The sequence below is a fragment of the Homo sapiens genome, chromosome 6 (genome assembly GCF_000001405.40).
Source record: "Homo sapiens chromosome 6, GRCh38.p14 Primary Assembly".
NCBI lineage: Eukaryota > Metazoa > Chordata > Mammalia > Primates > Hominidae > Homo > Homo sapiens.
In genome coordinates, this window is record NC_000006.12 from 113,605,574 (window position 1) to 113,620,840 (window position 15,267).

The following is a 15,267-nucleotide window of genomic DNA, read 5'->3' on the forward strand; positions in this document are numbered from 1 at the left end:
GTACAAGTCTTAGCTTTCCCACCAGACTGAAACTCAATGGAAAGCAGAAGTCATATCTTGCAGGGCACAGTACCTAACACATTGCCTTGTTAGGGGAGGGAGGTGTAATTAACTGAATATTCATTGAGTGAATGAATTAATGAAACCAATAAACATAAATGCAGAGCTATAATTTTTTAAAAAAAGTAATTTTTTTTTTTTTTTTTATACTCTAAGTTTTAGGGTACATGTGCACATTGTGCAGGTTAGTTACATATGTATACATGTGCCATGCTGGTGCGCTGCACCCACTAATGTGTCATCTAGCATTAGGTATATCTCCCAATGCTATCCCTCCCCCCTCCCCCGACCCCACCACAGTCCCCAGAGTGTGATATTCCCCTTCCTGTGTCCATGTGATCTCATTGTTCAATTCCCACCTATGAGTGAGAATATGCGGTGTTTGGTTTTTTGTTCTTGCGATAGTTTACTGAGAATGATGGTTTCCAATTTCATCCATGTCCCTACAAAGGATATGAACTCATCATTTTTTATGGCTGCATAGTATTCCATGGTGTATATGTGCCACATTTTCTTAATCCAGTCTATCATTGTTGGACATTTGGGTTGGTTCCAAGTCTTTGCTATTGTGAATAGTGCCGCAATAAACATACGTGTGCATGTGTCTTTATAGCAGCATGATTTATACTCATTTGGGTATATACCCAGTAATGGGATGGCTGGGTCAAATGGTATTTCTAGTTCTAGATCCCTGAGGAATCGCCACACTGACTTCCACAATGGTTGAACTAGTTTACAGTCCCACCAACAGTGTAAAAGTGTTCCTATTTCTCCGCATCCTCTCCAGCACCTGTTGTTTCCTGACTTTTTAATGATTGCCATTCTAACTGGTGTGAGATGATATCTCATAGTGGTTTTGATTTGCATTTCTCTGATGGCCAGTGATGATGAGCATTTCTTCATGTGTTTTTTGGCTGCATAAATGTCTTCTTTTGAGAAGTGTCTGTTCATGTCCTTCGCCCACTTTTTGATGGGGTTCATTCACAATTGCTTCAAAGAGAATAAAATACCTAGGAATCCAACTTACAAGGGATGTGAAGGACCTCTTCAAGGAGAACTACAAACCACTGCTCAAGGAAATAAAAGAGGAGACAAACAAATGGAAGAACATTCCATGCTCATGGGTAGGAAGAATCAATATCGTGAAAATGGCCATACTGCCCAAGGTAATTTACAGATTCAATGCCATCCCCATCAAGCTACCAATGACTTTCTTCACAGAATTGGAAAAAACTACTTTAAAGTTCATATGGAACCAAAAAAGAGCCCGCATTGCCAAGTCAATCCTAAGCCAAAAGAACAAAGCTGGAGGCATCACACTACCTGACTTCAAACTATACTACAAGGCTACAGTAACCAAAACAGCATGGTACTGGTACCAAAACAGAGATATAGATCAATGGAACAGAACAGAGCACTCAGAAATAATGCCGCATATCTACAACTATCTGATCTTTGACAAACCTGAGAAAAACAAGCAATGGGGAAAGGATTCCCTATTTAATAAATGGTGCTGGGAAAACTGGCTAGCCATATGTAGAAAGCTGAAACTGGATCCCTTCCTTACACCTTATACAAAAATCAATTCAAGATGGATTAAAGATTTAAACGTTAAACCTAAAACCATAAAAACCCTAGAAGAAAACCTAGGCATTACCATTCAGGACATAGGCGTGGGCAAGGACTTCATGTCCAAAACACCAAAAGCAATGGCAACAAAAGACAAAATTGACAAATGGGATCTAATTAAACTAAAGAGCTTCTGCACAGCAAAAGAAACTACCATCAGAGTGAACAGGCAACCTACAACATGGGAGAAAATTTTCGCAACCTACTCATCTGACAAAGGGCTAATATCCAGAATCTACAATGAACTCAAACAAATTTACAAGAAAAAAACAAAAAAGTAATTTTTAAAAGAAATTATCTGTCAGTAAAATGACCAACATAGAATATAAGCAAAACATGTAATAAACTATTTGTTATGAAAATTCCAAATGGAAGATAACTTTGTATCAAGAATAAATGCTTACATGTATCCTACCTGCATTAGAACTAAATACTCTCAACCCAACACCATGCTTTTGCAGGTCAAAGCAAGTGAATCTTTACCATCAGTGGATGCTCTAATATTCTAGAAATGGACTGGTAACTTATATTATTAAATGCCTGGTAGTTATAAACATCAATGGACTCATGATCAATTAACAAAAATGATTCTGTCTACAAGATAGCACATGTCTGAATAATGAATTCCATTAATACTATGCAGGAGTTCAGAGCTGGAAATCTGAAAGCATTTACAAAGATAATGTTTACACGAGTCTTTGAATACCCTGGCAAGGCAAACCATAAAAGTTAATAAATTAGTGATTGAAGGGTGGAAGGGAGACCATATCACAACCATTGGAAGGATTTTGAATGATCTAATAAAATGCCCTACCCTATATATAAAATATTATATGGGAAACAATCCTTCAGAATTTATTGATACTGTAAGGCTTTATTCCTCACACAATAAAAAGTAATTATCATAACACTAGACTGCCAGTTGAATGCCAATTTAATTAAGGAAATGACTTAAATATGCCATAGATACATTGTTCTTTTACATCAAAAGACCTGACATTACACAGACCTAAAATATTTCCTGTCTTCTAAGTATGAAATAATACAAACTTTGGTTCTATGTGTGCTTTCCCATAAATGCCATTTTTAGAAGCATATAAATAACATCGTTTCATATTCATAGACCAAGGAATGAAAAGCAGTTAGAACCAAAAGGCAGTTTTACCTTGTGTGTCAGGTTATTTATACTAGGGAATCCCCTAGAGAAATCTGTTGACTTCTTGGATACCCAAGTACCATCAGTGGCTGGTGACACAGGAAGAAGGATAAATGAAGAGGGTGAGTGTGTGACTTTATGAATGGATGCCAGAAATTGTACTAAGGAAGGTTTCATTTAGTTTTTCAAGTCTTTTCTCCTTTTAAAATAGCAAATTGCAAAAATGGAAGCAAACAAATTTTAAAGCTTTTATCAGTCACATGTATGTTGGTGCTAGTGGAGGATTTGAAAACCCAAAACCTTGGAAAGGGAAGAGGAGCGAGGGGAGAAGTGGGATGAAGAGAGCCAAGTTTAGAAGACAGCATATTAATGAGGAAAGAAAGGTATATAAGGTTATCCTGGAGAGACCTAGACACGAATCTAAACCTTGCCTACTTCCCAGCTTTGACTATCGTTGCCCCTGATACACTCCTTTTATTATAGTTCTACTTTTACGTTTATTGGTTTCATTAATTCATTCACTCACTCAGTAATCAGTTCAAATTTATCATCAATCATACTGTGAAAGTGGTGGCACTTCTGCCAAGAGATGGTGGCCTCAGCTTCTTAAGAATAGCCCTCTTGCTGATAAAGCTATTCAAACACAGTAAACTTAACTGTGGAAAGGCACTAAAGGAAGGTGTTTCAAGCACTGAAAATATTATTAGGAAAACCATGCAATTTATCATGCAAATGAGGATACAAAGGGGGCATTATTTATAATTACATCAGGTCTACAGGCAGACATGTCAACTAGAATGTATGGTTATCCTATTTACAAATCCATGTTTGGCCATGAAAAACTATTACTGTCTTTCTGGTGTATTGGATAATTGATTTTTATCTTTGTTTTGAGAGTTGAATGATTGATTCCATACCTACTACTGTTTATAAATATTTGTTTTCTAATTCCTGATCTAATTTTCAGCAATGTGTTAGATGCTTAGATGCTTAGTTAGTCTAATAAATTCTTCACAGCTGTCTCTAGCTTGAAAAGTGGCAGGCATACACAGTTGCAAAGAGAGTTAGAAGCTTCTCCAAAAGGAAGCCAGTTTTTTTCTTTTTCTTTTCTTTTTTTTGAAACAGAGTCTTGCTCTGTCTCCCAGGCTGGAGTGCAGTGGTGCAATCTCGGCTCACTGCAACCTCCGCCTCCCGGCTTCAAGCGATTCTCATGCCTCAGCCTCCAGAGTACATGGGATTACAGGTGTGCACCACCACACCCAGCTAATTTTTGTATTTTTAGTAGAGACAGGGTTTCAACATGTTGGCCAGGCTGGTCTCAAACTCCCGACTTCACGTGATCTGCCTGCCTCAGCCTCCCAAACTGTTGAGATTACAGGCATGAGCCACCGTGCCCGACCAGAAGCCAGTTCTTTAACACAGGATAGACATTGTTCCTGGAAGGCTCTAAGACAGGAAGGATCTGGAAAGGAGGCTAAGTCATTGCAGAAGGAATAAAAATTGTTTTAGGATCTGAAGGAAAATGCTGAGTTAGAGAGAATTAAAAAGTCTCTGAAATCTCTGGAAAAAAAAGAGTGAATGGCTGATTTTTAAAAGATATGCTTTAGTTTTATTTCTATATTTCCATACTTTGCACTGGGTTGATTCCCATAATGTCAAGCTATGGCTGCTTGATGTGGTTTGGATGTGGCCCTGCCCAGATCTCATCTTGAATTGTAGTTCCCATAATCCCCATGTTTCATGAGAGGGACTCGGTGGGAGGTAATTGAATCATGGGGGGAGTTACTTCCATGCTGTTCTTGTGATAGTGAGTGAGTTCTCATGAGATCTGATGGTTTTATAAGGGGCTTTTCATCCCCTTTGCTCTGCACTTCTCTTTGCTGCTGCCATGTGAAGAAGGACATGTTTGCTTTTCCTTCCACCATGATTGTAAGTTTCCTGAGGCCTCCCTAGTCATTCTGAACTGTGAGTCAATTATACCTCTTTCCTTTATAAATTACCCAGTCTCGGTTATGTCTGTATTAGCAGCGTGGGAACAGATTAACACACTGCTCTTCCAGTTTATCTCCTCAAAAAGTACAGGCTCTGTGTGATTTTATCATTCCCAAGTAAAAACCTTTATGGCCCAAGGACAGAATCTGTCAGTGAGAACAGACTGTGCATCATGTGGAGCAATCCTTTGGCCTCTTTTGACTTTGCTTTCTCTGTGTAGGCAATAGACAGGATCAGTCAGGAAATTCTAAGAGTTAACTTCCTGAGCTAATTTAACAACAGCAAAAAAGTGTTGCTGAGAATGATGCATGGATTTCAATTTAAAGACCTGCAAATGCTTTCAATTCTGCACTGTGGTTTTTGTCAAAAAAGCAGAGGCTGCATTTTAATGCGATCACATGCCGATACCAGGTCCTGATTTTCCTAAATTGCACTTACTAAATAGAATTCCTTTACCAAAGTACAGACCCACTTTTGCCCCAAGGGGCATACTATTCTAGTTCTCCAATGAAACTTGATTCTGTACAGTTCAAGGTTGACCCAAGGCTGTAATAAATCCACCTCTAAACACTTCCATTTATTTATCATAAGATTTTAAATTATTTTATTCTGTAGATTCTGTTTTAATAGACCAGAATATATATGGCAGTAGAAGTTAATCCACTAGCCTTTTGGCTTACTTATTGTCTATCAATTTATTTTGGTTAGTAACATATTTATTACAATGCTCTTGGCTGAGTAAAACATCAAATGAATAGTTTTCCTGAGAGTTGAGAACATGGAAAAGGCTAACAGCAACTTTTCCACATTTCTCTTCTCCATCTCTTCTACCATTGTCAAAAAAAAATCAGCTTTTAGTTTGGTCTTCTAAATGTGCTTTTCAAAACTCTGAGTAAACTTAATTTTGGAATCTTTAAAATGCCAACAGTGAGCATTTCCTTATGCACAGCCTTTAGTAGAGCAGCCTAGGTTGTCATGGTGAAATGGGTCAACGCTGTTTGCCAGGCAGCCTATGAAACTGCAAGCAGGCTACTGGCGTAGTGATAGCAGCACAGGCCAAAGCAGTCCACAATCTATAGCTGAATCTAGGTCACCAGGATTATGTGATGCTGCAGCTGTCCATGTGGGACTTCCATCTCCAACAGGGCTCACAAAGCCCTCATGCACACTGGGCATCCCCTGTAGCTGTAAACACTGCCATTCTGCTAGATCGCCTCCTTCTGCTGGCCATGTGTTAGTCTTTGCATTTCATTGAGGGCTCCTAGCCATGTGAGCTGGAAAACATTCTTCGTGTGTGCGTGTGTGTGTGTGTGTGTGTGTGTGTGTGTGTGTGTGTGTGTGTAAAAAGATACAGAGAGACAGAAATCTTGCTCTGGAGCCTGCATGCTGAAATGTCTCCCATTTAAATACATATTTCTGCAGAGTGAGCTAAATATTAATATCACATTCCTCTGTTAATGTAAACACCAGCAGCAAGATTTGGCAGCTTATTTAAAAAAAAGAGGAAGAACTTGGGCTTTTCTCCATACACAACATGTGTATTTTTTTTCCCCTGAGCACCATTTAAGTTAACACCACATCTACAGTGTGTCTGAAATGGCAGAGATTCAGTGACACTGGCAGGCAGCTGAGATGGCAGAGGGCTTAGGCACCACTGGCCACACGACTGTTTAACAAAGCTCCTATTGCTAGGAAAGCTCTAAATTATTCTTTCACATCAGAACTTTAAATTACATATTTGTGCTTATTTATTTGACAGGACTTTTAAAATATGCATTTTTAAAATGTACCTTTTCCTTTTCTATTTAAAAGTGGTGATTGGCATTTTGAATACAGACAAGCAATCTTCCTTAACACTGATTTTCTTTTTAAATAAATAGAGGCAGGATCTCACCATGTTGCCCAGGCTGATCTCAAACTCCTGGGCTTAGGCAGTTCTCTCACCTCAGCCTCCCAAAGTGCTGGAATTACAGGTGTGAGCCACTGCAATCGGCCAGCATTGATATTTTCATGAGTCCTTTTTTTTTTTTCTGTTGCTTTTCCCATTTGGGGTATATTATTTAACTGGACGGCACACATTTTAGAAATTGTCTAAATGTGAGTTAGGATTTCCATATTTTCAGGCTAAAAGCTGTATGTACACATATGCACTCATAATATGTCACTTGCTGCTACCTATCCTGCACTGTGTAAAATCTGTGTAAAAATCTTAAAACAAAGGGTCTTTTCTCAATTTAAGAAAAGGAAAAAATTCTTTCTATCTCTACAATAGTAAGTATGTGAGACAGGAAGGAAAATTTATATTTATCTACCTCTTTCTTCAAAGAAAAATGTTTAAATAAATGAATAGCAGAAGGAGATATGACATAAAACCCCAAATATCAAGACACTCACAAAGAGAGAAGGAAGACAATACGTGATGGAATGAGAATCAAGTGAAAGGATTAACTTTGAAAGGAAATAACACTTTGAAAAGAGGGGAAGGAAGCAAGGATGGTTACAAACCCAAGTAAGTTTGAAAGATGAGGGACAGGAAATCGAGTAAATTTTTGCCTTAGCTAGGTATCTAAGACCATTACTAATGAAAACAGTGGTTATTTTATTCAGTGTCTGTTATACATTAGGCAGCACATTAAATATTTTCATGTTCTGTTACAATGAGTCCTTCCTGCAACACTGGGAGATCCAACATTATGGTCCCCATTTCACACATGAGAAAATGTGTCTGTGTGTGTCTGTGTGTGTGCACGCATGCACATGTGCGCACAAAGGGTTAATAAGTTGACCAGAACCTCAACTACAATGGTGGTCAGTGGTGGTTAGATGTAGGTAGTCTCCCTCCAAACCTCATGTTTAACTGCCACAAGGTAGGCACTTTTCCAGCTATAATCACCCAATGGCTAATTGTTGCCCACTGCACAGATAAAATCAGTTCACTGAGACAGATGTATTGCAGTAGAGAAAGAGTTTAATAATGGCAGGGCTAGTTGAATGGAAGGATGGGAATAATTGCTCAAATCAGCCATCCCAAGAACTCAGAGGCTAGAGTTTTATGGATAATTGGGCAGGCAGGGAGCTCAGGGGTGGGTGTTGCTGATTGGTTGGGAATGACAACATAGGGGTGTGGAAAATGGTTCTTGTGCACTGAACTAGCCTCTGTGTGGGGGCCACAGAACAGGTTGAGTCATGAGTCATGGGGTCAGTGAGTTGCCAGAATGCAAAAGCCTGAAAAACATCTCAAAAGACCAATCTCAAATTCTACAATAGTGATGTTACCTACAGGAGAATTTGCGGAAGCCACAAATCTTGTGCCTCTGGCCACCTGACCCCGGAGCAGGAAGGGATTATAGAAAAGCCAACTGGAGATCAATGTCTGTTTATCATTTACTACACCTACATTTTAGCAGAATCCAGGCCTCTCCCATAATCCTAATCTTGTGGCCTTTCATTAGTCTTACAAAGGCAGTTTCAGCTCCTGAACAAGGAAGGGGTCAGTTTTAGGGAGAGACTCTTATCATTCTTGTTTCAAAGTTAATCTATAAATCAAATGACTCCCATGGTTAGCTGGGCCTATGCCCAAGAGTGAGTGAGGGTAGCCAGCCTGCGAGGCTAGAAGCAAGATGGAGTCAGCCATGCTAGATTTCTCTCACTGTCATCATCTTTGCAAAGTTGGTTTCACAGCCACATGCCCTTCATGTGGTATTTCAAACAAGGAACATATATTCGTATCGCCATCCCATCACTTCCTATCAAGAGCTATACCCTCCCTGCTTCCTCCTTGAACACTATTTATGAATTCAAAACCCAGGTGAGACTCCAGCTACACATAGAAGCCCATTCCTCATGTGCTCTGCTTCCTCTGCTTCCTGGAGCATAACTTGCTATGCATTCATATGGCACTGCCTGCTGATGACTGGGCATTATCCTGAATGATCTCCCTGGAGATATGCCCTGTATCCGTATCCAGTGGAAAAGTGTCTTGAGGTCAGGAGCTACATCATGCACTTCTTCCACAGCATCTATTGCTGGTCTATCCTGTGAAGGCACTTAAGAAACATTATTTGACTACAGCTTCCAAAAATAAGTTTTAGTATAGACGCTGTAAATAAACAAGTTCTATAAAAACACCTCAATCATAATCTGGGATGTGTGGTTTCAGCTTTGACCTTCCTTGCCTCTTAGAAGAAGACTCTACATGGATGTGGTGCCCAAGGGCGATCATACAAGGAGCAGTGGGCAGCAAATCCAGTGGCCTGAGTTTGAGTTTTGAACTGCCTTGCATTCGCTATTCAGGTATCCCTCTGTTCCCCTGGCAAGCTCATTTCCAATGCTCAGCAGTTTCTCAATTAGACAATTTGTTCTGTGGAAATGCAAAGTTTTAGAGTCAGACAGTTAACAACTGAGGAACCTTGAGCAAATTAATCAGTCTCTCTGAGCCTCAGTTTCTTATTTACAAAGGAATGATAATGATTCTTACCTCAGAATCTCTATGACAGCCTCATGTGGTGTAGTAAAGATTAAAAGAAGTGAAGAAGCAATCAATATATGTAAGGTGCCTGACACAGCAGATATTCAATATATATTAATGTCCCTTTCTCTCGTTTATTCCTGTAAAAAAAAACAAAAAAACAAACAACAACAACAAAAAAACTGCAGTCACCTAATAGATAAGGTACTGGCCTCCTTAAATTAAAAAAAGGAACAAATTTCTCTGTATAGCCATTCCAAAAAGGTTACAACTATATTGATATTTAATGTATAATTAAAGATTTGCTATTTACAAAGGGCTTTTACAAGTCTTAGCATTAATCCTCAGAAAAAGTTCCATAAAGTTATCCGAGCAAGGATTATTATCCTATTTATTTTACAAGAGAAAAATGAAACAACATTTTGAGTGCCCTCGAACAAATTATACAAACTTACTCAACTACTAAGTTACAAAGCTTTGTCTTAAACCTAGAGAATTAAGATATTTCTGGGAAAGTAGCAGAAAGTGCCCAGACTGGGCTGTAGTGCACATGACTGTTGTAAAAAACATAGCACAGGACATTCAGTATGCACTCCCTGAGCCATCACAGCAAAGGATTTTGCTTCTTTTCTCCCCCAACCATCCTCAGGTTATGCTCCCTTCTAGGGACATTCTCAGCATAGAAGAGAAAAGTATCCCCTTCCCATTTCCAAGAAGTGTTACGAACAGGGTGACATCTATCCACTTCTCTTCCACCTAAGAAAAGAGGCATGGCCAAAAGTCTGGGAGGCGCTGTGCACATCGTATTGGTATGATGCAAATGATTTCAGCTTGAGGTGCCTCCATTTTCAGCTGCAGTGTAGAGTCAATTTAATTGTGTCTTTTTTGTGATAGATAATTCATGAAACTGGTAGAGATATGGTTTAGGCTGGCAAAGGTGCTAGATAATCTCAACATAATAATCAGAAATGATCCTCTGGAAACTAAATTTAAAAATTGGAAAATAAAATTTCAAAAGAACGCCAGGTACAAAGGTCTCAGAAGACATAGAAATTTAGAAATAAATTTAGACAAAAAATATGCAAGACTTTTACACAGAAATCTGTAAGACATTGCTAGGGAAATTTTTAAAGAATTGAAAAATGGAGATAATACTATGTTTATGGATTGGAAGACTCAGTATTGTTCTCCATTCTTAGCAAATTAATCTACAGATTTGATGTAATCCCAATCAAAATCCTGGCAAGCTTTTTTTTAAAGAAATTCACAAGCTTATTTTAAATTATACATGAAAAAGAAAAGAATCTAAGGGGGAAAAACAATGTTTAGAAAGATAACTTACACTACTCGATTTTAAAACTTAACTGTGAAGCTATAGCAATCAAGATGGTGGAATAGAATAGAAAGTTCTGAAATAGATTCAAACATGTATGATGACCCTGTGGTAGGCAAAGATTTTTTAGATAAAAAAGGAAAAATCACTAAAAATAATTTTTTAATTAAAAATTTTAAAGTGCTTAAATTGGACTTTTTCAACAGTAAATCCTTCTGCTGTCTTCAAAAAAAAATTTTTTTAAATGAAAAAGCGGACTGGAAGAAAATATTTGCAACACCTTAATGGATACAGGAGTATATCCAGAATACATAAAGCATATCTCCAACTCAATAGGAAGGCAATTAATACAATTTATTTAAAAGGGCAAAAGATTTTAGTAGACTCTTCACAAAGACATGTGAATATCCAAGATGTTAAACATTAGTCATTTTGGGAATATAAATTAAAACCAATGTGATATTACTCTATACCCACTAGAATAACTAAAATTAAAGATTGGCAATATCAAACGTTGCCAAGGGAATTTTCATGCGTTGCCTGTGAGAGTGTAAAATGGTACAACTACTTTGAAAAGCAGTTTAGCAGTTTCTGACAAAGTCAAAAACATACCTAAGCATAAAACCCAGCAATCCCACTCCCAGGTGTTTACTCAAGAGAAATAAAAACACATGTGTACACAAAAGACTTGTACATAAACATTCAAAGCAGCTTTATTCATAATGGCCCAAACCTGGCATCAACACAATGTTCACCAAATGAATAAACAAATTATGGTATGTTCATATAATAAAATATCTTAATTTTTTTTAAAAAAATGACACATCACCACAGGGTTGAATCACACAGACATTATGCTGAGTGAAAGGAGACAATACAAAGAAATGCACAGTGCATGATTTTATTGTGTGAAATTATAAAACAGGCAAAGTCAGCCAGGTGCTGTGGCTCATGCCTGTTAATCCCAGCATTTTGGGAGGCCGAGGGGCAGATTACCTGAGGTCAGGAGTTCGAGACCAGCCTGGCCAATGTGGTGAAACCCCGTCTCTACTAAAAATATAAAAATTAGCCGGGTGTGGTGGCTTGTACCTATAATCCCTGCTACTCAGGAGGCTGAGGTAGGAGAATCACTTGAACCTGGGAGGCAGGGGTTGCAGTGAACTGAGATCGCACCATCATACTCCAGCCTGGGCAACAAGAGCAAGACTCTGTCTAAAAAAAAAAAAAAAAAAAAAAAAAAAAAACAAAAAAAGAAGAAGAAAAGAAAAGGCAGAGTTAATTTATGATAATAAAAATCAAATCAGCAGTTTCCTAAGTAGGGGAAAAAGGTAATTGACCACAAGTGGCCTAAGGAAGCTTTCTGGGGAGGTCAAAATTATTCTGTGTCTTGTTCTGGGTGATGTTCTACAGTGTCATAAACTTGAATATTTAAAATATATGAATTTTATTGCATGTACATTATATTTCATTATTTGATTTATATATTTGGTTGATTTTTTTCAAAAACCGACCTTGGTCAAACTTCCATAAGTAATCTTTTTCTCTCACTTTATAAAAATGTATGCAAATACATGTCTAGAACAGAGATTAGTCTGCATGAGGGTATAGATTCTACTGAGCTCCCCTCTTGATGTTCCAAGTACTTGTCTCCCCAGAACGTCAGTTCTGATATTCTTAAGATGGTGAGTAGTGAAAGAGGGTAATATTTCTAAAACTACTAACTGAATTAGATGATGACTATGCCCACAAATAAACAAAGTTCCAAAGGCTTTTAAAAAAATATTTTATTATGGAAAATTACAAACATATGCAAGAAGAGAGTATAGTATAATAAATTTTTATGTACCCGTCATGTAGCTTCAAGAGTCATCACTGTATGTTTATCTACATCCCTATACACCCCTCTCCCTGCCTCCCATTGAATTATTTTAAAGCAAATCCCGGGGGGTCATATCATTTCATCTGTAAATGCAAGAAGCTCTGAAATTGGATTCATTTGCTCGCACTGTGTCCTCTGCCTGAAATGTTTATCTCTTGCTCTTTATATGGCTGGTTCCTTCTCATCTTTCAGGTGCGACCTTTTCAGAAAGATCTTCCCTGGTCTCCCTATCTAAAATAGCTCACCTTCTACCTGAGTCCAGCTACATTTTGTCCTGGTAATCTGGACCCTGGGCTTTCATATCATTTTCCACAATTTGTAATTATTAGTTACTGGTTTTTCTCTGTCTTCTCAACTATACTCTAACTGCCACTGACATAGTACTATCACAGTGTCTGGAAGGTGATTAATAAATGATAGCTCCTCATTAATGAATCATCTGAACAATTAGCTTTTCAGAGGTCAACAATGAACATTTCTCCTCTATGTCGTGATGTTCGGGATAACCACCAAACATAAGTTGGTATTGCTTTTCCAGAATTTTCTAAAACCTTATCCCAAGGTATCAAGTAACCAATAGAAGTAGTACTTCTTTTGTATGTTTTTGTAAGAATTACAGAATGTTATAAGTGAAAGAGGCTTGAGAAATAACCTACATTCATAGGTCTGTTGGCTTTTAAAATGAAAAGAATCCTTAGAAAACATTTTGTTGAACTGATAACAGATAAGAAAACTTTATAACCCATACCTAATGTTGCAGAATTTGTGATTTACAAATGGCCATAATCTGAAAACTTCATCTAGAAAAATAGTCCATTTACTTGAGTGAGAATTGAACCTCATATAATATCAGAAAAGTAACTCAACTTTATGCTATCTATATATATAGTATACTCAGTTAAGCCATTTATTTGACAAATATTTATTTCCAACCCATTATGTTCCAAAAACCATTCTTGCAGCTGTATCAGTGAACATAACAATAAAGCTTACATTCTAGCCTATGTGTCAATATCGTAAAAGTACATCCTCTTGAATTTGCTACAGGATCATCGTAAGGTAATTTAGAAGAAAACACTTTTTATTATGTACTCAATAAAGGCAGAAAACAACATTTCCTTGTTGAGCTTATATTACCAAAATTCCAATGTCATTATTCAGCTTCTTCACTTTCTAAACTCTGATGAATGAGCCCCCACCACACCATAACGTTGCAGTAAGCTGGTGGCTGGGATTGGCGAGAACATTTTACCCCAGGAGCTTCCCTCCTGTGTACTCACTGATGTACAAACTGACTGCAGGAGCCCAAACCTTGTATAACAACCCTGGGATGGAATAAGATGCACTGTTGGGTCCAGAAGTGCCCCAAACACCTAATACATACACACTTGAGTTTCAGGTGACCCAAAATCAATCATTCTGCCAAGTCTGATTTTCTTTTCTTCTTCTTCTTTTTTTTTTTTTTTTTTTTTTTTTGAGACAGAGTCTTGCTCTGTCACCCAGGCTGGAATGCAGTGGCATGGTCTCAGCTCACTGCAATCTCTGCCTCCCAGGTTCAGGCAATTCTCCTGCCTCAGCCTCCCAGGTAGCTGGGACTATAGGTGCCCGCCACCATGCCCAGCTAATTTTTGTATTTTTAGTAGAGATGGGGTTTCACCATGTTGGCCAGGCTGGCCTCAATCTCCTGACCTCAGGTGATCCACCCACCTCGGCCTCCCAAAGTGCTGGGGTTACAGGTGTAAGCCACTGCACCTGGCCCTGCCAAGTCTGATTCATAAAGAAAGCTAGGCTCCATCACATTTTCTCCACAAACTTATGTAAACTATTCTATCCTCTTTCCTCACAATTCATTCACTCTTGTCAGAGCGCTATTCCCAAGGTGTAGTTTGGGAAATATGGGTGTCACGCTGACACTTCCTTCTACATTGGAGATAGAGTCAGAGGCAACCTCAGAAGTGAAGGGGCAGCAGCTAAGGAGGTGGGGACAAGCAGCAAGAGGGAAGGTAGGATTGGAGCAGGAGTGGAGCAGGTGCAAGAGTCCCTCCTTTCATCGCAGCCTGATGTCATTCCTCTGATCTCTGTCTCTCCAGGGTTCTCTTCTACCTCCACTATATGCAAGGGAGTTTTCCTAATTCCCTGATAAAAATTATTCTGATTCTCTGGATATTTGCTTGGCTCTCTAGTGACGTTTCTGGGAACTCTAGCTAGACTTGCTGCTTTACCTGCAGTCCAGGAGGTATCCACTCTGTGTGATCACAACTCAACAGAATAGGAAAGCAAGTCTAATAAGTGTGAGATTTTGAAACAATCAAGCTACAATAATTTTATGTTACCCCTCTAGAAAAGAAAATAATACTCACTGCATTTTTAGAATTAAAAAATAATGCAAATGTCTTAGTTTAACAGCTCAGATCTCAGTTGCCAAGTAACAAAACCCACAAGTTCTCTGTATTTTCCATGAGCTTTCAAAGTTTGTTTCTGGCATACCTCAGGGCAAGGAGGAACTTGTTGCTAAATATATTGCGTGTTCTCCCACAAGAAATTTGGGGACTTCTCAGAAAAACCTGGGAGGTAGAAGGGGTGATTGAAAAGTCACCACTAGCTTCTCCTTCTGAGCCGTTAAATCTTTTACTAATGAAAGACAAAGACTAATTGTTCCTCTCCAGGATGAAAGTTGCTTTGAGAAGCCAGAGGCATTTCTGAAAAGATGCAGCATTACCCTGGTGAGTTCAAGAAAGGGCATGCTGGAG